Here is a 24,770-nt window from a genome sequence, read left to right on the forward strand (position 1 = left end):
ATTGTTCCTGTGAAGTCTCCTTTACAAGTTTCCCTTCCTATCCTTCTCCCTTAGAGAGTAAGTATTAGCATTTCTTGCTTTACATACTTTCTCTGGATTATTTTCCTCATTCCTAGGATTCCAAAATCCCCCAAATCTTTAATCTCAAACTCTTCTATGGACTTCAGATCCATATCTCTAAGCACCCCAAACTCAATATAGACCCCAAACAGAAGTCACCCCCTCTTCTTCCCCATGGGTTCACTCTGGAGTTTATCTCAATACAGGGCATCACACCCAGCCAATTGCTCAAGTCTGAATCCAAGAGTCACCTCTCTCTCTTCCTCTCTCTCTCTTTCTCACGCGCACGCACACACACACACACACACACACACACACACACACCATATATTTACCACAAAGTCCTACTGAGTCAAATGCTAATTACTGCAACCTTACTATCACCCAGCTCATTTTATTTTGTCAACTGTCTCAGTGAGTGAAACTGTTCAAAGTTGTGTAATCTTTGTAAGTCATTAGTGTAGCTAAAATGATCGTTTGTGGGGAGTTTAAAGTTCTAATGTTTTTAGGAGATTGAAAAAATCTAGGAAAAGATTTTCTGTTTCTTCTTCTCATCTTTTTAATAATAGTGTTGGTAAGATGATATTCTCAATTTTCTCAGAACAATTTTCCGCAGATACACATCTTCCGTGTTTGATCATGCTGACAAAATTGGGAGGAATGTGTTTTCTTTCTGCAAACATAACATTTCTACAGCCTCAGAAAATACAGGTTATTGCTGTTTGTCTGGGCACATGAACTACATATCTGTAACAGGCTGAACTGAAACAACTGAATCAATGTTACAAACATCCATTGGAATCAAGAATAATAACGAGAATGTCACAAGGATCTGAATTTTATTTCTCTGATATCTAGAAATCACAACAGATCACCTGTCTAAGCCAAAGGTCACAAGTGGTGATAAGCTCCAAAACCAGCTTATCCTCTTCCTCAGTCTCTGTAGAAAGAGGTCAACACATGGACTTTTAGTGTAAAGCTCGCTGTCCTATTTGTTAATACACCCTTCAGGGTGTTATCAATGGTTTTCTAAATTCAGGAGAAATAGTAAAGAGAAACAAATTAGCAAAATACCAAGTAGATGCACAACTACACTTCTAGTGGAAAGCAGAGGAGAAACCCTTGCTAGATAGAAAGTTCTTTCTTCTTTTAGGCCTTTACATCTTCATTACACTCTATGCTTCCACTAGGCAAGCTAAAGGCTACCAGTAGTTCATACAGCGATGACCTCAATTTTATCAGGTCTCAGTTTTTTCTTTTTTTTTTTTTTTTTTTTTTTTGAGATGGAGTCTCACCCTGTCACCAGGGCTGGAGTGCAGTGGCGCAATCTCAGCTCACTGCAAGTTCCACCTCCTAGGTTCACACCATTCTCCTGCCTCAGCCTTCTGAGTAGCTGGGACTACAGACACCCACCACCAAGCCCAGCTAATTTTTTGTATATTTTAGTAGAGACAGGGTTTCACTGTGTTAGCCAGGATGGTCTCGATCTCCTGACCTTGTGATCCGCCCGCCTCAGCCTCCCAGAGTGCTGGGATTACAGGCATGAGTCACAGTGCCTGGCCCAGGTCTCACTTCTTTTTTAAGCTGGAGCAGATTGAGTATGGTAATATATTTTCTTTCTGTCTGTCTGTCTGCGTCTGTCTGTCTGTCTTTCTTTTCTTCCTTCCTTCTTTTTTTTTTTTTTTTTTTGACTAAATTTCACTCTTGTTGCCCAGGCCGGAGTGTAATGGCACTGCTCACTGCAACCTTTGCTCACTGCAACCTCCACCTCCTCAGTTCAAGCAATTCTCCTGCCTCAGCTTCCTGAGTAGCTGAGATTACAGGTGCCTTTCACCATGCCTGGCTAATCTTTTGTAAGGTATGGTAATATATTTTCTACTTTCTTATATTATCTTGAGCTGGTAGGCACATACTTATATAAGAGAGAGATATTCAGTTTTAGAGGAAGCTTTTTAGCAAAAGCCTACCTTTCATGCCCACCACTGTGGGCACAGAAGTCAAAAAGTTAAAAAGAATAAAATTTTTAAAGTAAAGTAGTTACAGTAATTTGGTTTTGGAGAAATACTTCTCTTGGTAAATGTAATGTAGTCTAAGTGTACAGTGTTTATAAAATCTGTAGTAGTGTGCTACGATGTCCTTGGCTTTTACACTCACTCACTAACTCATCCAGAGCTGCTCCAGTTCTGCAAGCTTCATTCAAGGTAAGTGCCCTATACAAATGTAGCATTTTTTAATCTTTAATTAATGTATTTATATTTTTTTGTTTTTTATTTATAGAGATGTGGTATTGCTATGTTGCCCGGGCTGGTCTTGAATTCCTGGCCTCAATCGATCCTCTCACCTTGGCCTCCCAAACTGCTGGGATTACAGGTGTGAGTTACCAAGCCCGGCCATTTTTTTTCTTTATGCCATACATTTACCGTACCTTTTCTATGTTTAGATACACAAACCTTACCATTGTGTAACAATTGTCTGCAGAATTCAGTCCAGTAACATGCTGTGTGGGTTCATAGTGTAGAAGCAATAGGCTGTGCCATATATACTACGTGTGTAGTAGACTGTACCATCAAGGTTTGTGTAAGTTCACTCTATGATACTCACATGAAGATTCATTTCTCAGAATGTATCACTGTCAAGCAATGTGTGACTGTAACAATCCAGGCAAAAAGTGCCAAGTTCAGTCTTGAAGAGCACATAATTTCCACCTGAAATTTTAAATAGCCTCAGGTTTACTTAGAACTTGGTGTTCATACAAATACCACAAGTTCCAGGCTCAATGAAAGGTAAGTAAGTCTTGAGAAAGCTCTGATCAGTTCAAGCATGAGCTTAGAAAAGTAATTAAATGGACACCCAGACAAAGACTTTGGAGAGAGAAAGCTTCAAATCACTATCCAAATTGAAGATGATTGCCAAAAAAAAAAGAACATTTCCTCCCTTTGTCCCTCTCCCGCTCCCACTTCCTTCCTTATAACGGCTATAAATATTAGTATAATCTGTTGGAATTTCCAGAAGAAGCCCTCCTCCCAATTGTGCACTTTCTTTATTAATCAGAATGAAACTACATATTATGAAATGTATATTAGAGACAGTCCAAGAAATCATCAAAACTTCTCCACTTTGTGCTTCACTTTTTGTGGCGGAGGTGTGGCAGGGACAGGGAGGGGAAGATAAAGTCTGTGGGGTTAAGGGAAGGTGACTCTGGGTGAGGGGCAGATATGATTCACTTTTAGAATGTGTGACTGTATACAATCCAGGCAAAAAGTGCCAAGTTTAGTCTTGTCACTTTTAGAAGTGACAATTTAGAAACAGATGATTTTGAGCTAAACCCAAGTCAGGTACCATCCTTAATTCAGCAGTTATTTCCAATGAGACCTCAATGCTTTCTTTAAAACTATCAGCTGAGCACTTGTGTAAATTTATACTGCTGTTGCTTTCCAAACTTTTCAACCAAGTTTCTGCAGTCTTGAGAGAAGAACTGCATTGCTCTATCAACTAGACTTTGGTAGACTTTAGCTTGCCTAGTGGAAGCATAGAATGTAATGAAGATGTAAAGGTCTAAAAGAAGAAAAGAAGTTCAAGTGGAGGCTAAGAACTTCTGTGTACAACAGGAGAAAGGTTATCAGAGATTTGCATAGAGAAAAATTTCTTGATAAGAAAGTGCTTAGGAGCAATCCTAGTCGATTAGAATCTGTTTTCCTAAGATTAGAAGTTGACATTTTGATTGCAGTGTAATTACAATTATCTGTAACACTTTGCAAGTTGAATACAGGAAAACACTAAACACAAAACTTCTCTAGTTGGGAGAGAGAAGGGAGGGACGGCACCACAGAAAATCAGACCAGAGAAAGTAGAGTCTATACAACCCCCTTAATTTACAAATGAGGAAGTGAGTCTGAGACCATTTAAATTATACAGCAGTGCTCTCAGCAAATTGGTATCTGAGGAATTAGACTCATCACTAATGAAAGGGATTTCCACCCAAGGTGATGGGAGGTTTAGCAGAGATATTTTGGGAAAGGCAGAAATTCCAATGTCCTTCAAAACACAGTGTGTTTATACATGTAGTGAAGTTGTTTTCAGGGTATGTAGAGTATGCAAACATATCTCAACATTCAAAATCCATATAACTATCCCTAAATGCCATTATGAACATAACGGGGAAACAGGTAGTATTCTGATATGTAGCATTCCTTAGGTTTGCTAAGATTGTATGCGTTGTGTAGACAAGCTGCCTTGGCAAAATAAGACAATTGTTCAAAAATATATATATATACTATCTATACAGTTCAAGAGAAAGTTGGCCCATATTATCCAAATATAGTAATTAAGTCCATTGGCCACTTGATTGCTATAGTCTTTAAAAATCCCTGGAACTAGCCACGCACAGTGCCTCACACCTGCAATCCCAGCATTTTGGGAGGCCAAGGTAGGAAGATCTCTTAAGGCCATGAGTTCGAGACCAGCTCATGCAACATAGCCAGACCCTATCTCTACAAAAACAATTTTATAAAATAAGCTGGGTGTGGTGGTATGTGCCTGCAGTCCCAGTTACTTGGGAAGCTGAAGCAAGAAAATCTCTTGAGCTCAGGAAGCTGAGGCTGCAGTGAGCCATGATCACACCTCTGCACTCAGCCTGGGCAACAGAGAAAGACCCTGTCTCTTAAAAAAAAAGAAAAATCCCTGGAACTGTCTGTGCTGCTATCTTGGTGATTTCATACGCTACACACACACACACACACACACACACACACACACACACACAAAAGATTTAGTGCAGCCAAATCCCCCTCTTTGCCTGAGCAAGGAAAAAGAGAAGAAATGTTGCAGCTGGATTCAAAGCTTAACCCGTGCAGGGAGAATCTCCACTTTCTGTAGGACCTTCTCCCTTGCTGCTTCCCAGAATGGCTGCTTTCAGTGAACTTTTAGCTGACAAAAGTCAAGATGCCCCTCCCGTAAAGATGGAAGTAAATCCAGAATTTGAAGAGGGACACAAGAGAAATGGAGGTAAAAAGCTGTTAAAAGTACTGTATTTAGTGCTGGTAGCTAAAGCAACTTCCTATGTGTGATTATCATACAAGCATGGTAAGTGTGTGTGATTATATACAAAACAAGTATGGCTTGTTTTGAGAAATAAGTAAGATACTATTTACTTAGGCTACTGAGTGAAGTTTGTGTGGATCTCTTGGCCTCAGTGCTTCTTGGTCTTTTGAGTAATAGAACTCTCCATCTTTCTTTCCAAATGAAAAAATACTGCAGCTATGCAATTTATCTTAATTCCCAAAAAAGTTTCTTATTCTAAGTATCTGGCCAAAATATAGTGAACTAACAACAAAGAAAAAAAAATCCAACTATCTTTCATGATTGAACTCAGTTTGGGATGTATGTTACTGATGAATCTCACTGGATCTCTCCAGCTGGGGAATAATATAACTCTTTGATATTTAACTTGAATTGATTTTTAAAAATAATTTCTGACTCCTGTTTTTCAACTCAACCATGTTTATACACTCCTGTATCAATGTACAAAAATCATACAGTCTTTTTAGAAATGTGATATGCCACCCTCATTCCCAGCCTGTGGGATGGTAAGTATTAGGACCTCCAAGAGGGAATCTGCAATTATTATCAGCAATAACTATGGAGTTGAGTATCTCCTCCGCATAATTGCCAGGGTAAATATGTAAGAACCAAAAAGATAGACAACTATAAAATGTGTCCTATTCCTCAACATAATTCAGAAAGTAAGTTGTGTGCATAAAAAATATAAGCGCAGAAATGACACAATACAAGGTAACCAAACTCAAAGTAATTGTCACAGGCTATAAAGTTACAGGTGTTCATAAAAGCCAGATGTCACCAAAGGCTGAAGAGCTGACTGTTTTCATATTTACCTTGAGTCAAGGAGGCTGTAAGGTCTCCCAAACTCTTTTAAATGTTTATTCCAGTTTCCACAATATTTAATTTCCATCACTTAAGTAACTCAACAGATTTAGGCCAGGTGGGGGTAAGAAGGGAGAAGAGCATTTCTGAAGTAGTATAAATATAACAGGTGATTACCCTTTATTTCTGATTGACAAACTTACAAGAATTTTTTTTTTTTTTTTTTTTTTTTTGAGATGAAGTCTCGCTCTGTCGCCCAGGCTGGAGTACAATGGCGCAATCTCAGCTCACTGCAACCTCCGCCTACCAGGTTCAAGCGATTCTCCTGTCTCAGACTACCAAGTAGCTGGGACTACAGGCGCATGCCACCATGCCCAGCTAATTTTTGTATTTTTAGTAGAGATGGGGTTTCACCATGTTGGTCAGGCTGGTCTCGAACTCCTGACATCGTGATCCGCCCACCTTGGCCTTCCAAAGTGCTGGGATTACAGGCGTGAGCCACCGTGCCCAGCCACAAGAATATTTTTTAAAGGGCTTATCTTCAGTCTGCCTAGGGCAAGAAAGCTGCTGCCTTGATTTTGGACTTTTTCTCCCACCACAGTTTTCCCCACATCCTGTGGATGGGTTCTCTCTAGGAACTTGTGAAAGTCATGCCAGCTGGGACCCCACTAGGGGCCAGCAGACAGATATGTCTTACAGCAGGTCCCAAGCATGGCCAGACTCTGAAGAGTAAAGGAAAGCTCCCTCAAAAGGAACTTAAGCATAGGAAAACATCCAAAACCAACGGACTCACAATAGGGCACTCAGAAACATTTCCCAGACTGTTGTCACTCATGTCACATGTACATAAAAGTATATGTTTAGATAAAAATTAAAGTAAATATATTTCTACCACCTAGTGTTTACAAATATCTGGATGACTGAAATTTTCAGTTTTCACTCAAATGTTGGTTTGAAGTTTATAGTATCTACTCAACTAGTCAGTAAATTTGACACTTTTGGGGTCTGGCTTCAATTTGACAGTATGAAGTATTTATTAGAAATGGTATACAGTTGGCCGGGCATGGTGGCTCATGCCTGTAATCCCAGCACTTGGGAGGCTGAGGCAGGTGGATAGCTTGAGGTCAAGAGTTCAAGACCAGCCTGGCCAACATGGTGAAACCCCATCTCTACCAAAAATACAAAATTTAGCTGGGTGTGGTGGTGGGCGCCTGTAATCCCAGCTACTTGGGAAGCTGAGGGACAAGAATCACTCGAACCTGGGAGGCAAAGGATGCAGTGAGCTGAGATCACGCCACTGCAGTCGAGCCTGGGCAACAGAGCAAGACTATGTCAAAAAAAAAAAAAAAAAAAGAAGAAAGAAAGAAAGAAGAGAGAGAGAGAGAAAGAAGGAAGGAAGGAAGGGAGGAAGGAAGGAAGGGAGGAAGGAGGGAAGGACGGAAGGAAGGAAGGAAGGGAGGGAGGGAGGGAGGGAGGAGAAAGAAAGAAGAAAGAAAGAAAGAAAGAAAGAAAGAAAGAAAGAAAGAAAGAAAGAAAGAAAGGAAAGAAAGGAAAGAAAGAAAGGAAAGAAAGAAAGAAAGAAAGAAAAAGAAAGAAAGAAAGGAAGGAAGGAAGGAAGGAAGGAAGGAAGGAAGGAAGAAAGAAAGAAAGGAAAGAAAGAAAGAATACAGTTGCCACATAATCAAATTGAAGATTAAGACATCATTTTTAAAAAAAATATAATGTATACATAACACTGATACTGAAGCACTATGATTTAGTAGTGGGAAGAGCCACTGATTGAGATTAAAGAGTAAAATGGAGATTTAAAAAATGATTGCCTCCCCTGAAAGATTGCTGGGTGGATCAATCTAAACTATCTGATTTAAACTGCAAATAACCAAAGAAATTTAAGTTCTGAACATAAGGATTATTGAATGTCAATCCAACCCCCACCTTCTGTGTCATTCAACCTCATTTGCTTGTTTGCCACTTGTAGAATGTAAAAAATAGTACTATACCTGCTCTGACTACCTTACAAAATTATTCTGGGGATCAATTATTCTGGGGCTCATAAAAGTGCTTCAAAATATCTTAAAAGCACTTTGCCAATGCTAGAGTTAAAAAATAAATATTATAACATAATTAGCCATCTAGCTTTAACATTTAAAAAGGAATATAACATCATTGAAAATTATAGCTTAATTATAACAATATCTTTCTTTATGTCAAAGAATTAAACAGTAGGGTTATTGAGTTTTCTATTTTGTATTCATAAAATCTTCATATATCCACAAAAACTAAGAAGGTAAATGCATTCCCACATTCATGATTGCTACTTGTTTTATAATACAGTCACGCTCATATGCTATTTCCTTTCTAATTTCCTCATCTCCTTAGACTCCTGAAAATAAAACGACTTTGATGTATGAAACTGTATTTTAAGAAAGTAAAAGTAACAGGCATTTTCCTTAAAAGATACCAATCAAAATCTTAAATGATTTCCATGTACGATGTTATTAGTCATCTTAATTTTACATCTTAATAGAGAAAAATGTACTTATTTCCTTCCTTCCCTGTTGTTAAAATTGCTGTTTCACTGGGCATGATGGCTCACGCCTGTAATCCCAGCACTTTGGGAGGCCAAGGTGGGCGGATCACCTGAGGTTGGGAGTTTGAGACCAGCCTGGCCAACATGAAGAAACCCCATCTCTACTAAAAGTTCAAAATTAGCCGGGCGTGGTGGTGCACCCCTGTAATCCCAGCTACTCGGGAGGCTGAGGCAGGAGAATCGCTTGAACCAGGAAGGCGAAGGTTGCAGTGAGCCGAGATCGTGCCATTGCACTCCAGCCTGGGCTACAAGAGCGAAACTTTGTCTCAAAAAAAAAAAGAAAAAAAAAATTGCTGTTTCATGTTTGTTCTTATTTTTGAAATATCAGTAAAACTATGAAGAATATGACCGACAGTTATTGAGTATTTGAAATGTTCTAGGCACTGATGTGAGGCCTTTACATGTTTATCATTTTATTTTACAAGCAGCTTATATATGTATCACTTATATAGGTATCAGCATATATATATATATTTCCTCATTGTACAGTGAGGAAAATACGGTCAGAAAGGTTAAGAAACTTGCCCAGTGTTGCACAGCTAGGATTAGAATGGGACAGATCCCAAATGCACAGTGAATCCATGGCACAATACAGCCTCTCACTCTCATTCTCAATCATTTCAACTCAAGGCAGGTAAACTTTTCTTCAATGAATGAAGGTCATCAATCTTGAGTAGAGGTAATTGGACTTCTTCCTTAATCTGCTCAATTGAGTATCTCACAGAGTTCAAGCACTTCCCAAATATACCCAATATTTATATATTGGGTATATACCAATATATATATACCCAATAGTCACTTTATACCCAATAGTCACTTTATGATGACCCAAATATACCCAATAGTCACTTTACCATGACAGCTGACCTGTTCTTGCTAAACACAATCTAGCCAGTGGAAGTAAGATTCCACTGGAGTGTGCCCCATGTGCCTCCTTCTTTTTCTACTGAGATTCTTGCTCCAGAACCCTATGAATACTCTGCTACCACTGAGAAAATAGAGAAGTTCTCTATTTTCATCCTATAGTCTTTTGAGATGTTTGACACTGAGACAGAACTAATACAGAAAGCATGATCTCAGCAGTTAAGTTAAATACTCTTTTTTCCCCTACACTTTCTCTTTGCCAGTTCTTATGGGTAAAGTAAACTAAAGAAAAGTGAAAATATATAGAGGTATATATATATATGTTGAATGAATACAAATCATTCTACCATGAGGTAAGACAAACAGTGGGCATATAGGGAAACCCCATCCAAAGTGAACACAGGGCCCCTGAAAGGTGAGGGGCTCATTTCATTATTTTCATATTTGTCTTTCATATGACAAATAAGGTAAAAGTGGCCTCCAACTGGTGGAGCAAATATCAGTTGTAGAAGACAGTCCCCCATTGTTTTGTACAAAGGACAGTTTCTATTTACCCTGGTCACAGTTGTCATAAACATTTCAGAGCTGTGTACCTCACTGTTTACTTAGGCATTAATAAGCTTTATTTTACCAAAATTTTCAACAGCATGAAAGTGTAGTTCTTTCACCCCTCAATCCACTTGGGACTAATTTGAGCAATGCAGGGCTTAGTAGCAGGAAGCATGTAAAAATTTCATCCCAATTTTTGGCAGCTTCAGAAGCTGGTGTGTTTACTTTCGGATATCTAACAATTCTGGAACTTCATAAATGAAGAAGCTAACTGCAAGACTTTGACATATTTTTGAAAAGGAAAGAAGTCAAAAGTTTCCTCTTCCCTGCTTCCTCTGGATTAGGCCAGAAAGTCTTTATATCAAATTGTCAGTCTTTGCCTTTGCTAGGTTTGCCCAGGACGTAAAAGACCCACCTGTTCACAAAGCTAGGAGCCCCTGAAAATAGGTGCACAGGCCAGGAGCCCTCACATCTTTGGCCTGCAGCCCTTCCCTAGCTCCTAAAGTAAACATGCAGGGGGCTGGGGTTGCAAATTCCCAGGAGGCAAGACCACTGGTGAGAGTTTCCAGAAGCAGCCAGGGGTCTCTACCACTTCCCTGCTCTGCTGTTGTCTTCCAGCCTCGGAAAAAGTGGAAAAGGCTCTGCTTACCAGACAAACTACACTGACAAATAACAACTGCTCATCATGTACTCCAGCCCCAACTGCAGGATAGCAGCTGCTCCCTTAAAGACCAGAACACCAAGAAACTCAACACGGTCCAGGCTACCAGCATATTCTGTTCTAGAAAGTTGTTTGTGTTTGTGTTTGTGTCTGTCATATTGGTGTACAATAATACTCAGAATGACCAGCTAATATTTATTAAGCCCTTTCTGTATGTCAGGCACCCATCAAAGCAGTTGATGTATTATAAATCATTTAATCTTCATAACAACTCTATTGAATTAAGAACACTTTTTATCCCCATTTAGCAGAAGAGAAAACTGAAACCCACAGTGTCTAGAAAGTGCTCTGGTGAGAAATATTTGCTAATTGAATTCGTAAAAGTAAGAAAGCACTACTCCATATAAATAATGTCATAAATAGGGGGAGAACTTCCAAGATAAACCCACAAACCTATTTAACCCATTCTTATCTTTTTTAGTTATTATTTTAACACTACCTCATTTAAGCCTAATAGTCATTATAACATTGTTTTTAGAGAGAAATCTGTTCCCAACTGTAGCTTCTGGCTTGAGCAGCTATTTTCTTTTTTTTTTCTCTTTTTTTTTTTTTCTGAGATGGAGTCTTGCTCTGTCCCCCAGGCAGGAGTGCAGTGGCGCGATCTCGGCTCACTGTAGCTTCTGCCTCCCAGGCTGAAGCGATTCTCCTGCCTCAGCCTCCTGAGTAGCTGGGACTACAAGCATGCACCACCAGGCCTGGCTGATTTTTATATTTTCAGTAGAGAGAGGGTTTCGCCATGTTGGCCAGACTGGTCTCAAACTCCTGGCCTCAAGTGATCCACCTGCCTTGGCCTCCCAAAGTGCCAGGATTACAGGTGTGAGCCACCATGCCTGGCCACCAAGCAGCTACTTTCTAAAGCAATATTAATAATGCCAAGGGCAGGTATAAAGCTAAGCAGGTGCAGTCTCTACCATGTAGGAACTTCTATCCCTGCCCCACCCCAAAGAGCAGAGTGGGGGTTTGCTGGAGGGGCTTCCAGCTTTGACTGGAATGGCAATAAGTCCTTCTGGACATCAGTGCTTGCTCTCTCTCCACCCCAGATGCTCCCACACCCTTCCAACAGAACTCTTGGGGTCACTAACCTGCTATAGAAATTGTGGAAACATCATTTCCCAAATCACATTTTTAAATTAAATTAATGAATAGAATTTTCTCAAGTCTTCATTTTCCTTACACTTTTGGCACCTGTTACTGCTTGTCTGGTGACACGTGCTAGCAGATGACAAAATGAATTAACTAGTGGTATATTAACATTAGCAGAAAAATGGAGAAACAGTTGATCCTGTTTAGCTCAACAGCGAGGAGTTATTTTTTGGCCTGGGTGTTCACAGTTGTAATTTTACAGTACAATATATATTTAAGCAGTCCTACTTTCTGTTTGTAAGATCAAGTCTACTTTTTGTGGTGAAATAAAATATATTAGCATCTCATAGTGTTCCTCAGTAGCATCAACAACACCCTCTACCACCTACACAGCTTTGAGGATTCCTGAACTAACTCTGTCTTGGTTGGACTCCACACATGTCTACCCCACCCAAGTATCTCAGAGGAGTTTTCCCACCTTACACTGTGAGCTCTTTGAAGGCTCAGGTTGTCTCTTGTTTATTTTTGTATACTCAGTGGCACCATCAGTTAGGGATTCATAGTTACAGTAAGTGTATAATAAACTTTGCTGAATTTAAACTGATCCCAGTGTAAGTAAGTGAACTAAGCTCTGAACTTGTCTTTCCTTCCCATCCCATCCATCAACGGAGGGCTGCCCTGAGTCACATGTTTGAACAGAGCCTGCTTGTGAGCCACTTCTCCTTTTATCTAAACAACATAAAATGTTAAAGAAAAGGCAATCTGGCTTAAAGAGCTGTTTTTTGTTTGTTTGTTTGTTTGTTTGTTTGTATGTTTGCTTTTGTAGTGAGAATATGATTGCATGTTAAACCTACAGATGTTTTAACTCAGTTCACTTCCTATTTATTAGTGTTTCTAAATACAGATATACTCTCATCAGGTAAACCCGTTGAGTTAAACTTTGCAGGACCCAACAGCAAAAGTTTCTAAGTAAAGCAATATTCTTCTCTGCTGAGTTTTTAAGTAAAATGCTAAGTGAAAAGAACTAAAATTAGGAGTTTAATTTAATATTTCAGTAATTATACATTTTCAATGTCTCCTTTTAGCTTCAGCACAAATTCAACCTAATCTCTGTTTATCATTATCCAGCTGATATAAATGTGCTGCAAAATCTGTAATCATCAAGAACAATGTGATTATTTCCACTGCCCACTGCTTTTAAAAATCAATTTTATGCATTGGGAACAGGATTGGTTTTCAGCTAAGCCTTTGTCAAGAGAGAAAGAAAAGGAAGGAAAGAAAAAGGAAGGAAGGGAGGAAAGAAGAAAGAAAGGAAGGGAGGGAGGCAGGGAGGGAAGGAGGGAGGGAGGGAGGGAGGGAGATAGTAAGATAAATAACAAGAATCCCCCAATTCCTTGAAAATTCTACTTAACTGAATTTTATTGCACATGGAAATCTTTTTTTTTTTTTGAAGAAATAAAAAATGAAATAATTACATTCTTGGCAAAAGATCTGCCGGGTAATTCCTTTTAGATGGCAATTTCTCTGCTGAATTTAAAATGCAATTTGATTTACAAAAGTATGATTTTTCAAGCGGTGGAAATCTGTCTGTTGTGTGGAGCACACCCAGCTGGTTTACTTTCTGTGCCTGGAGACCCCACTGTGCGTCTTCCAAAGGTACATTTGCAGCCAAAGAACAGCTTAAATCCTGGGAAAATCTGCCTCAATAACGTTTTTTTGGAGAAAGAGGCAAGATATTTTTTTCTCCCTGCATTTGGATTTGGCCAATATCTCATTTTAAACAGCCTATTCTCAAAAGCATTACGACATAGGAAGAAGGAGGAGTGCCATCAGCAAACCGAAACAAACATGGGTCCACTAGTGTGCCCAGGGCTTCCTGCCAGGCCAGCCCATCCAGATACAGGCACCCCTCCTCTTGGTGTCCCTAGACAGGCAAGGCTGACCAGCTACAGCTGGCTGCATGCACCTTGGGAGCCACAGATTGCGTTTGTTGATAAGTAAACACATTATTGCTTATCAGATGCGCATTCTTTTCCAATGTGCAAAATATTCCCGTATGGCATGCAAAAGCTTATTTTGGAAGTATCCCCAAACAGCTTTGAGTAGGAATTCCCAGTGAGCAGATTCCCTCATTATTATACCCAATCATCCTTTCAATCTCTCTTAGACATTGCTTGTAACTGACTCCTTTATGATTGCATTGCTTTCTTTCTTGCTACAACAAATGCAGAGATCTGGTTTAAGACTAAATCTCAGGTTCAAACACTCAGAAGGAAGATTTCCTCTAGCTCAGTGATGATCAAACTAGCAGGCATAAAAATCATCAGGAAAGCTTGTTAAAACACAGATAGCTGAGCCCCACCCCCACAGCTTCTGATTTGGTTGATCTGGTATGGGGCCCCGGAATTTGCCTCACTCGCAAGTCCTCAGGTAATGTTGATGCTACTGGTCTGGAGACCACACTTTGAGAACTACTGTTCTAAACAAATTGGCTGTCATGCTGAGTGCAAAAACTCAGCAGGTGTGCACAGAAAAAGCTGGCTTTAATGCACCAGCCCAGGCACTCTTAAACTCAGACGAAGAGAAAGAGAGTGGACTGTTCCCTTTCCAGCAAAGAGTAGGAAATGACAGCTCCCATGAATCCAGGAAAGATGGATGGAGAACCTAGTGGAAGGAGGGGCCCCTGGAGGAGCTGGGAAGGCCATGTCTGAGCATTGTTGCCAGTGGGCTCCAGTGTATTAGGTACCACACAGACTGGAAAAGAGAACTCCGAGAAACTTCGGTAATGGTTATTAGAAGAGTAAGGAGCTGGTTTTCCAAACACAAGTTATGGAGCATTTTTTCCAAATTACATTACACAAGTCAATCATAATCTTGTATTTCAAACATTTTCAAATAAATTTGAATTTCTGGATCATAACTAAATTACATCATCTAGTTCATATCTTGAGGCCTATAGATTCTAACTAGTCTAAGAGGCAGTCTGTTAATCAAAGGGATAAAATCTAGTTATAAAATAGCATTTGCATAATAGATCTAAGCACCAAAAGAGGATTGTCCAGGGGGCCCTTTTGAATATCAGAAGATATAAAAAATATTTTATATCTTTGGGGCCGATATATAAAGATTATCAGCCCTAAACACTATCATGTATATAATATGCAACTTACAGATATGCATTATTACTCAGATGCAAGCCAGTCTAAGACAAGACACTCAACTATCTCCAGGTCTGAAGTATTCATTTATCACCACTTGGAGCCATTTAATTATTTATTAAGCGAGACCTGACTAAACAACACGAATAGAGCCCTGGCTGCCAGCCCAGTCCAAGTCCTCATTATTGCACTATGCCTGGATTAAAATCCTTTTCATTGATCTTAATGGGTCAAGATAGGCTCTACTTTAAAAAACCTTTTTATAACTCCTTAGCTTCATGATATGGCCACCCTTTACATTTCCAGTGTCCTCGCTCACTATCCACCCACCCAATGCCCAAGAATGCGACACCAATCAACCTAGAAACCCTATGCATTGCCTCTGATTAATATTCCTAAAACAACAGTGTTTTCATCTTATTGATAACTACCTTGCTCGAAAACATACAGTGACCCCTCACTGCCTACAGATTTAAGGTCAGCCCCTCTCTCTTTTTAAAAACAGAAATTCAATTTCTTCAATTGTTATTGAGATGGGGTCTCATTGTATTGCCCAGGCTGGTCTCAAACTCCTGGGCTAAAGAGATCTTCCTGCCTTGGCCTCCCAAAGGGCTAGTATTATGGGTATGAGCCACCACACCCAACCCAAGCGCCTCTCTTTTTATTGAAAAGAGTTCACTGTTTAACCTAACTCACCTTATTTCAATAACTCCCTAAATAAGCACTTGACTCCAGAACATCAGTTTCACACACAAGTGTGTGCATGTGCTCACACCCACATGCCATCTCAGTCTGAGCTTCTCTGTAAGACAACACATGGCTATTTCTCAGGGTCTATCTGACTTCCTAGAGCTGCGCTACCTAAAGAGTAGTCTGCAGAAGAGTACTAGGCCATGCACTGTCATGGTTTTTACACTTTCAAAAAGTTGTACAAGAATAAAAAATTGAATAATATGTAACAGAGAACATGTGTGGCCACACAACCAAAAGTATATCCTATGTGGCTTCCACTTTTACAGGAAATGTTTGGCTGGTCATCGTGGCTCATGCCTGTAATCCCAGCACTTTGGGAGGCTGAGGCAGGAGGATCACTTGAGCCCAGGAGTTCAAGACCAACTTGGGCAACGGAGTGAGACCCCATCTCTTAAAAAAAAAAAAAAAAAAAACTGGCCTGGCATGGTGGTATACACATGTGGTGGTATACACATGTGGTACTAGCTACTCGGGAGGCTAAGGTGAGAAGAGCACTTGAGCCCAGGAGGCCAAGGCTGCAGTGAGCTGTGGTCACACCACTGAATCCCAACCTGGGTGACAGAGCAAGATCCTGTCTTTAAAAAAAAAAAAAAACGGCCGGGCGCTCATGCCTGTAATCCCAGCACTTTGGGAGGCCCAGGAGGGTGGATCACCTGAGGTCAGGAGTTCAAGACCAGCCTGGCCAACATGGTGAAATCCCATCTCTACTAAAAATATAAAAATTAGCCAGGTGTGGTGGCGGGTAACCTCAGCAACTCAGGATGCTGAGGCAGGAGAATTGCTGGAACCTGGGAGGCAGAGGTTTCAATGAGCCGACATCACGCCATTGCACTCCAGCCCGGGCCAACAACAGCGAGACTGCGTCTCAAAAAAAAAAAAATCAGTAAAAGTTTGCTGGCTACATTCTAGAGCACTATGCCTTCATACTATCAAGAGTGCTTTATATTAATGTAAAGGTTTATACTATTATTTCATTTCCTATATGCCTTGCTTTCCTAATAAGACAATGCACATTTTTTGTGAGGGGAGATCAGAAGACTTCAGATAGGGCAGAGCCTGCAGTACACATAGAATTAGCTGTAGTGTGGTCTGAATGTTTGTGCTCCTCAAAATTCATATGTTAAAATGTAATCCTCCATGTAAGAGGAGGAGCCTTTTGGGAAGTGAAAAGGTCCTGAGGGCTTCACCCTCATGAATGGGTAAATTGCCTTAGAAAAGAGGCCTGAGGAAGCTTGTTTGCCCTTTTTGCCATTTAAAAACCCAGGGAAGGCACTGTCTGTGAAGAACGGGTCCTCACCAGACATGAAATCTGCTGGCACCCCGATACTTGACTTCCCAGCCTCCAGCCTGTGAGCAATAAGTTTCCATTGTTTATACATTACACAGTGTAAGGTATTTTGTTATCACAGTCCAAACGAACTAAGACGGTAGGTATCAAAAAGTGTTGATTTAATTGAACTGGCTCTGTTATCTTTATGTTCTCAAAAGCAAATTTCTCAGAATTTGGGTCTCTCACACACACCTCCCATTGTTTACTTTTGTCTGCTTAGTAACAATACAAGTTAGCTCTGCTTTACATTACTAAGAGCATTTTTTCAGTCTCACCAACTTTTTTTTTTCGAGATAGGGTCTTGCTTTGTTGCCCAGGCTGGAGTACAGTGGCACAATCTTGGCTCACTGCAGGCTCTGCTCTTGGGTTCAAAAGATTCTCATGCCTCAACCTCCCGAGTAGCAAGGATTACAAGCATATGCCACCACACCTGGCTAATTTTTTTTGTATTTTTAGTAGAAACAGGGTTTCGTCATGTTGGCCAGGCTGGTCTCAAACCCCTGGCCTCAAATGATACACCCCCGTCAGCTTCCCAAACTGCTGGGATTACAGGCTTGAGCCACCGTGCCCAGCCCTCATCAACTATTTAATGGAATGAACCTAAATACCTGTATTTGGTGAACAAGAATATCTACAGACAGGAAGGTTTCCATAAGGGGCTTGTGGTAGGCAGACCCTAAGATGGTCTCCCCTGGTCTCTCCTGGTATTCACCCCTTGGGCAGTCCATCCCCTTCAGTGTAGGCTGGACCTAGAAACTTGCTTCTAGAATATGGTAGAATTAATGGGGTGCCACTTCTCTGAGCAGGTTGTAGAATGTCTGCTGCTTCTGTCTCAGGGCTCTCCCTTGCTCTCTCTAGGATCTGGGGGAAGCCAGTTGTGCTTCTTAAGGCCTCCCTGTTGAGAGACTCATGCCAGTGAACTTGGAAGCAGATCTCCTAAAGCCTCTCAACAGCTACAGAAATTAACTTGAAAGGAGATCCTCTAACCAGCTGAGGCTTGAGATGACTGCAGCCCTGGCCAGGACCTCAGTCGCAGGCTGTGAGAGTCCTGGAGCCAAAATCACCCAGAGAAGCTACTCCTGGATTCCCAACACAGACCATTGAAATAATAAATGTTTATTGCTTTAACCTCTAAGGTTTTGGGGGTGATTTGTTATAGTAGTAGATAATTAATACAGAGCTATAATTTGTGGTTCAGACAAAAGGTTGTATATTTCCTGCTAAAAATCCATAAAAACCCAATTTCTAAAGTAATCCACTTGAAAATAATCATCGTGGACACTAGACTCCTTTCTGATAGAATTAATAGTTAAGTAAGGTCATGCTTAGTCTCATAGGCAAATATCATAACTATAAAGTAGAATTAGGCTTTTAAGGATGGCCTGGATATGCCTGGAATTCTTGTCCTGGTAATTCAAAAATAGTTGCAGAAGAACTTTTCTATAGCTAACCTGAGATCAGGAGAAAACAACTGCTTAAATAGAGTTTGTCTGGTTTCTCATGCTACTGTCTAAGAAACAGCTTGACAACAGACTTTTCAGCCCAGGAGGGAACTAATACTTCCCTGGGGAACAATTTCCCTGAAATACCATATAGTTCACACACGTGCATGTGCGCGCGCACACACACACACACACACGCTTATACCCAACATTAAATCAGAAACGACCAAAAAACTGCTTTTGACTCCTAAGGGCTGAGTGTGTCCAGGAAGCCTTGATTCAAGGGAGTCCTCCTCTATTTCCCATTAGCCTCTCTAATCAGGAGGTACTTTTTCAGGCAGCAGACCTAATTATCTGCTATTGTCATAGAGAAAAGACAGAATCCAGACTTGGAACTCACCACAATTTTGTACCCAGAATGTCATCATCAAATAATACTAAAGTTTCAGGCTGAGCATGGTGGCTCATGACTGTAATCTTAGCACTTTCGGAGGCTGAGGTGGGAGGACTGCTTGAGGCCAGGAGTTTGAGATCAGCCTGGGCAAAATAATGAGACCTACAAAAAAAATTTCAAAATGAGCTGGGCATGGGTGTCATGCGCCTGTAGTCCCAGCTACTCAGGAGGCTAAGGCGGGAGTATTGCTTGAGCCAGGGAGGTCAAGGCTGTAATGAGCCATGATTGCACCACTGCACTCCAGCCTAGATGACAGAGTGAGAACCTGTCTCAAGAAATAAATTAAATAAATAAATAAATAAATAAAGTTTCAAAGCAGATATTCTTTTTATTTGAGGGCATGGACTCTCTGGATTTTATGCCTCTGAATTCTCATATTCTCACTTTGGGGCCTGCTAGAATGGTTTACCCTAGAAATAAGTTCAGACAAAATTGTGATGGAGCTGGAGGTAAGCTCCAAGAACATGGGCTTTGGAGCCAGACTGAGCTGTGGTGAAGATTAAACTATATAATGTGTTTCATGCCAATGGCCAAGCTAGCAGACACCAAAAAGATGCTGAACCAGTGTTGGTTACACCACCATTCCCTTCAGTGAGGTGGCTGCTTCATCCTCCTCCCTCTTCCCTCCGCCAGTCACCACCACCCTGGTTCTAGTCCTCTTGCTCTTTGCTTTCTATGCTCAGAAAAATCTGCTCTCTGTCCAGGCACAGTGGCTCACACCAGTAATCCCAGCACTTTGGGAAGACAAGGTGGGCGGATCACCTAAGGTCAGGAGTTCAAGACCAGCCTGGCCAACATGGTGAAATCCTGTCTCTACCAAAAGGTACTAAAATTACCCGGGCAAGGTGGTGGGCACCTGTAGTCCCAGCTACTTGGGAGGCTGAGGCATGAGAATCGCTTGGACCCAGGAGGCGGAGGTTGCAGTAAGCAGAGATCGCGCCCCTGCACTCCAGCCTGGGCGACAGAGTGAGACTCTGTCTCAAGGAAAAAAAAGAAAAATCTGCTCTCACATTCTTTGGCCAAATTCAAGTGATTGAATAACAACTGTAACTATGCTTTTCCCAAACACATTTATGCATTAACAAGTATTAATGAGACTTTTTGTCCCAGATACTGTGAGACATTTATGTGTCCTGATGCCATCTGTAAGCTCTAGAGTCAGACTGCCACTACTCAAATGCCACCTGTTCCACTTACTACCGTGTGACTGGGGCAAAGGACTTAGCACCTCGACATTTACAGCTTCCTCATTAGTAAAATAAAAACATCTAAGCATGTGGCAAAGATAAAATGAGAAAATCTAGGTAACATTCTTAGAAAAGCTCTAAAGTATAGACATTGGCATGTAAGCCACTTGAACACAGAGACTGCCACGCTTTTGGCTGTGCCTTACAACCTGGAACGGGGCCCAATATGAAGTACAGGTTCAAATACTTGTTGAATAAATGAATGAGGCCAGGTGCAATGGCTCACACTTAAAATCCTGGTGCTTTGGGAGGCCAAGGCAGGAGGATCACTGGAGCCCAGGAGTTCAAGGCTGTGGTGAGCTACCACTGCACCACTGCACTCCAGCCTAGGCAACAAAGGGAGTCACTGTTTCGCTGTTTCTAAAAAAATAAAAAATAAAAATAAATGAATGAGTATGTTATATGCATATAGAAACTAAAATATTTATTAGGCTTTTTTTTTTTTTTTTTTTTGTAGAGACGGGATTTCACCATGTCGCCCAGGCTGTTTGTTCTCAAAATCCTGGCTCAAGCAATCCTCCCACCTCAATCTCCCGAAGTGCTGGGATTACAAGCATGAGCCACTGTGCCTGGCAATGTATTAGGCTTTTTATTACAAAGATATACAAATAAGAACACAGATTATCTACTTGTCTTTTTTTAATTAAAAAAAAAAAAAAAAACTCATGGGAGCACCTAAATGTAAAGTAAATATTAACAGAACTGAAAGAAGAGATAGCATTACAGTAATAGTAGTAGACTTTAATACCTGACTTTCAACAATAGGTAGATGATACAGGCAGAAAATCAATGAGGAAACAGCAGACTTGAATATTACAGACCAAATGGACCTAACAGACATGTATAGAACATTCCATCTAACAAATCTAACAGTAGCAGAATACACGTTCTTTTTTTTTTTTTTTTTTTTTTTGAGACAGGGTCTCACTCTGTCACCCAGGCTGAAGTGCAGTAGCAGATCTTGGCTCACTGCAGCCTTGACCTCCTGGGCTCAAACAATCTTCCCACCGCAATCCCTGAAGCAGCTGGGACTACAGGCACACATCACCATGCCCAGCTAATTTTTTTATTTTTATTTTTTTGTGGAGATGGGGTTTCACCATAGTTCCCAAGCTGATCTCCAACTCCCAAGCTCAAGCAATCTGCCCTCCTTGTCCTCCCAAAGTGCTGGGATTACAGGCATTACAGGCATGAGCCACTGCTACTGGCCTAGAATACACATTCTTTTTAAGTGCACATAGAACATTTTCCAGTAGAGATCATATGCTTGGCTTCAAAACAAATGTTAACAAATTTAAGAAAATTGAAATCATATCAAGTATCTTTTCTGCCCACAGCGCACAATGGTATGGAACTAGAAATTAATAACAGAAGGAAACTTGAAAAATTCACAAATATGTGGAAATTAAACAGCGCACTCATGAACAACCAGTGGATCAAAGAAGAAATCAAAAGGAAGCAAGAAAAAGAAGAAAGCAAGAGATATCTTGAGACAAATAAATGGAAACACAACATGCCAAAATTTATGGAATTCAGCAAAAGCAGTTCTAAGATGGAAGTTTATGGTGATAAAGGCTTACGTTAAGAAAAAAATGGTTTCAAATAAACAATCTAACTTGACAACTCAAGGAACTAGAAAAAGAAGAATGAACTAAACCCAAAGTTAACAGAAGGAAGGAGATAAAAAGACCAGAACAGACAGAACAGAATAGAGAGCTCAGTATTTATGGTCAGTTAATTCTTGACAAAGGTGCCAAGAACTCACAATAGGGAAAGGATAGTCTCTTCAATAAATGGTGCTGGGAAAATTGTGTATCCACATGCAGAAGAGTAAAACTGAATCCTTATCTCATACCATATACAAAAATCAACTCAAAATAGATTAAAGACTAAACATAAGACCTGAAACTGTAAAACTACCAGACAAAAACATGCAGGAAAATCTTCTTGACATTGGTCTGGGCAATGATTTTTTTGGCTATAGCCCCCAAAATTCAGGCAACAGAAAAAAAAATAGACAAATGTGATTGCATCAAACTAAAACCTTCTCTACAGCAAGGGAAACCATCAACAGAATGGAGAGACAACCTATGGAATGGGAAAAAGTATTTGCAGAGGATACATCTGGTGAAGGGTCAATATCTGAAATATATAAGGAACTCAAGCAATTTGATAGCAAAAAAAAAAAAAAACCAAATAACCCAATTTTTAACTGGGCAAACGATCTGAATAGGTATTTCTCAAAAGAAGACATACAAATAGCAAACAAATATGTGGAGAAATGCTCAGCATCACCAATCATCAAGGAAATGCAAATTAAAACCACAATGAGATATCTATACTTCACACCTGTTAGAATGGCTGTTATCAAAAAGACAAAAGATATCAAGTGTTGGTAAGCATGTGGAAAAAAAGAAAACCCTTGTACACCTTTGGCAGGAATATAAATTGGTACAGCCGCTACAGAAAATAGTATGAAGTTTCCTTAACACATTGAAAATAACGCTACCATATAATCCAGCAATTCCACTTAGGAATATGTATCGAAAGAAAGCTAAATTAGTATTTCAAGGAGATATGTACACTCCCATGTTCATTGCAGCATTATTCACAATAGATAAGATATGCAATTAACCCAAGTGTTTACCAATTAATAAATAAAGTGTGTGCATGTATGTGTGTAGTGAAATCTTATCCACCTTAAAAAAGAAGGAAATCCTGTTATTTGCAACAATGTGGATGAACCCGGAAGACATTATGCTAAGTGAAATAAGCTAGGCACAAAAAGACAAATACTGCATGATTCACTTGTATATGAAATCTAGGCTGGGTGCGGTGGCTCACGCCTGTAATCCCAGCACTTTGGGAGGCCAAGGCAGGCGGATCACAAGGTCAGGAGTTTGAGACCAGCCTGGCCAATATGGTGAAACCCCGTTTCTACTAAAAATACAAAAATGAGCCGGGCATGGTGATGTGTGCCTGTAATCCCAGCCACTTGGGAGGCTGAGGCAGGAGAATCGCTGAACCCAGGGAGGCGGAGGTGGCAGTGAGCCAAAATCATACCACTGCACTCCAGCCTGGGTGACAGAGCGAGACTCTCTCTCAAAAAAAGAAAAGAAAAAAAAAAGAAATCTAAAACAGTCAAATTCACAGAAGCAGAGAGTAGAATGGTAATTGTCACAGTCCAAGAGGTGAAGAAAATGGGGAGATCTTGGTTAAAGAGTACAACGCTTCAGTTATGCAGGATGAGTAAGTTCTGGAGATCTAATACGAAGTATGGTGACTATCGTTGTATTACTATATAGTTGTATTGCTATAGTTGTAATACTATATTGTATACTTAAGATTGCTAAGAGTGTACATATTAAATGTTTTCAGCACACATTCAAAAAGCTATGTGAGCTGATGGATATGTTACTTAGGTAATCATTTCACAATGTGCATGTATATTGAAATGTCATGTTGCACATCTTAAATATACACGGTTTTTATTTGTCCATTATACCTTAATAAAGCTGGCAAAAAAGGCCTCATTCAAAGACCTCATTCATAAAGTTTAAAAATTCAACTTATTAGCCTGGCACAGTGGCTCATACCTGTAATCCCAGCACTTTGGGAGGCGGAGGCGGGCAGATCACTCGAGGACAGGAGTTTGAAATCAGCCTGGCCAAAACGGCAAAACCCTTTCTCTACTAAAAATACAAAAATTAGCCAGGTGTGGTGGCACACCTGGAATCCCAGCTACTCAGGAGGCCGAGGCAGAGAATCACTTGAACCTGAGAGGCGAAGGCTGCAGTGAGCCAAGATCACACCACTGCACTTCAGCCTGGGTGACAGAGCGAGACTCCACCTCAAAAAAAAAAAAAAATTCAACTTATTACACTTTAATTTTAGTGCATTTAGTAAGTTGAACCTAAGAAAAATGACAAAATGAGAAATAAAAGCCAGCCATTTCATTTTCTCTAGAACTTTTCCCCCAAAGGAAGCCACGGCTTCTCATGTTTCCTGCCAAAGAAACAAAAAACTCTATGCATGTATTATAAACAGCCATTGAGATGTAAAGACAATGAATGTAAGCCCGAATTTAAAATTTCAAAAGTCAGAGAGCACAGAAGAAGCAGAGGGAGATCTGGGAGGAGAAGACTTTAGGATCTTCCACAGTCCGTGACATCAGACTGTGTTGACCACTTGGTGCAAACAAGTGGCACCTTGGTGGTATAGGCGACCGTTGCCTAAGTTGTGCCTCTTTCTTTCTGACCGGGAAGACACTAGAACCACGATGGCATCATTTTATATGCTGTTCCAACTTCTTGAATCATGATGATGAGGCTCCATGCAGGACTCAGAGCAGAGCTCAACTGATTAGCAATGTCTACTGTGGGTACAAGAGTAGTATAACATTCTTGACGCTATACCAGAGTTTATTTCCTGAAAAAAATTTGTTTTTTTTTTTTTGAGACGGGATCTCACTCTGTCACCCAGGCTGGAGTGCAGTGGCATGATCTTGGCTCACTGCAACCTCCACCTCCTGGGTTCAAGCAATTTTCCTGTCTCAGTCTCCCGAGTAGCTGGGACTGTAGGCACAGGCCATCATGCCCAGCTGATTTTTTTTTTTTTTTTTTGGTAATTTTAGTAGAGA

At 40.4% G+C, this 24,770-nt stretch overlaps 1 long non-coding RNA gene across 1 annotated transcript, besides 2 other annotated features; it reads left to right on the forward strand.

Moving 5' to 3' along the window:
* Window positions 228-436: a silencer, noted in NCBI's record as "fragment chr6:113980637-113980845 (GRCh37/hg19 assembly coordinates)". NCBI's record gives its function as "represses an EF-1alpha promoter that drives an FKBP-Casp9 reporter gene in an ReSE screen in HepG2 liver carcinoma cells {active_cell/tissue: HepG2}" and the evidence as "EXISTENCE:reporter gene assay evidence [ECO:0000049][PMID:32094911]".
* Window positions 4,870-18,123, forward strand: LOC124901381 (uncharacterized). The gene is made up of 2 exons (XR_007059715.1): window positions 4,870-5,064; window positions 17,847-18,123. It is a non-coding gene; the product is annotated as an uncharacterized LOC124901381 (long non-coding RNA).
* Window positions 9,428-9,477: an enhancer, noted in NCBI's record as "active region_24969". NCBI's record gives its function as "activates an Ori minimal core promoter by ATAC-STARR-seq in GM12878 lymphoblastoid cells {active_cell/tissue: GM12878}" and the evidence as "EXISTENCE:reporter gene assay evidence [ECO:0000049][PMID:35858748]".
* Window positions 18,124-24,770: the final 6,647 nt, after the last annotated feature.

Source organism: Homo sapiens, chromosome 6 (genome assembly GCF_000001405.40).
Source record: "Homo sapiens chromosome 6, GRCh38.p14 Primary Assembly".
NCBI lineage: Eukaryota > Metazoa > Chordata > Mammalia > Primates > Hominidae > Homo > Homo sapiens.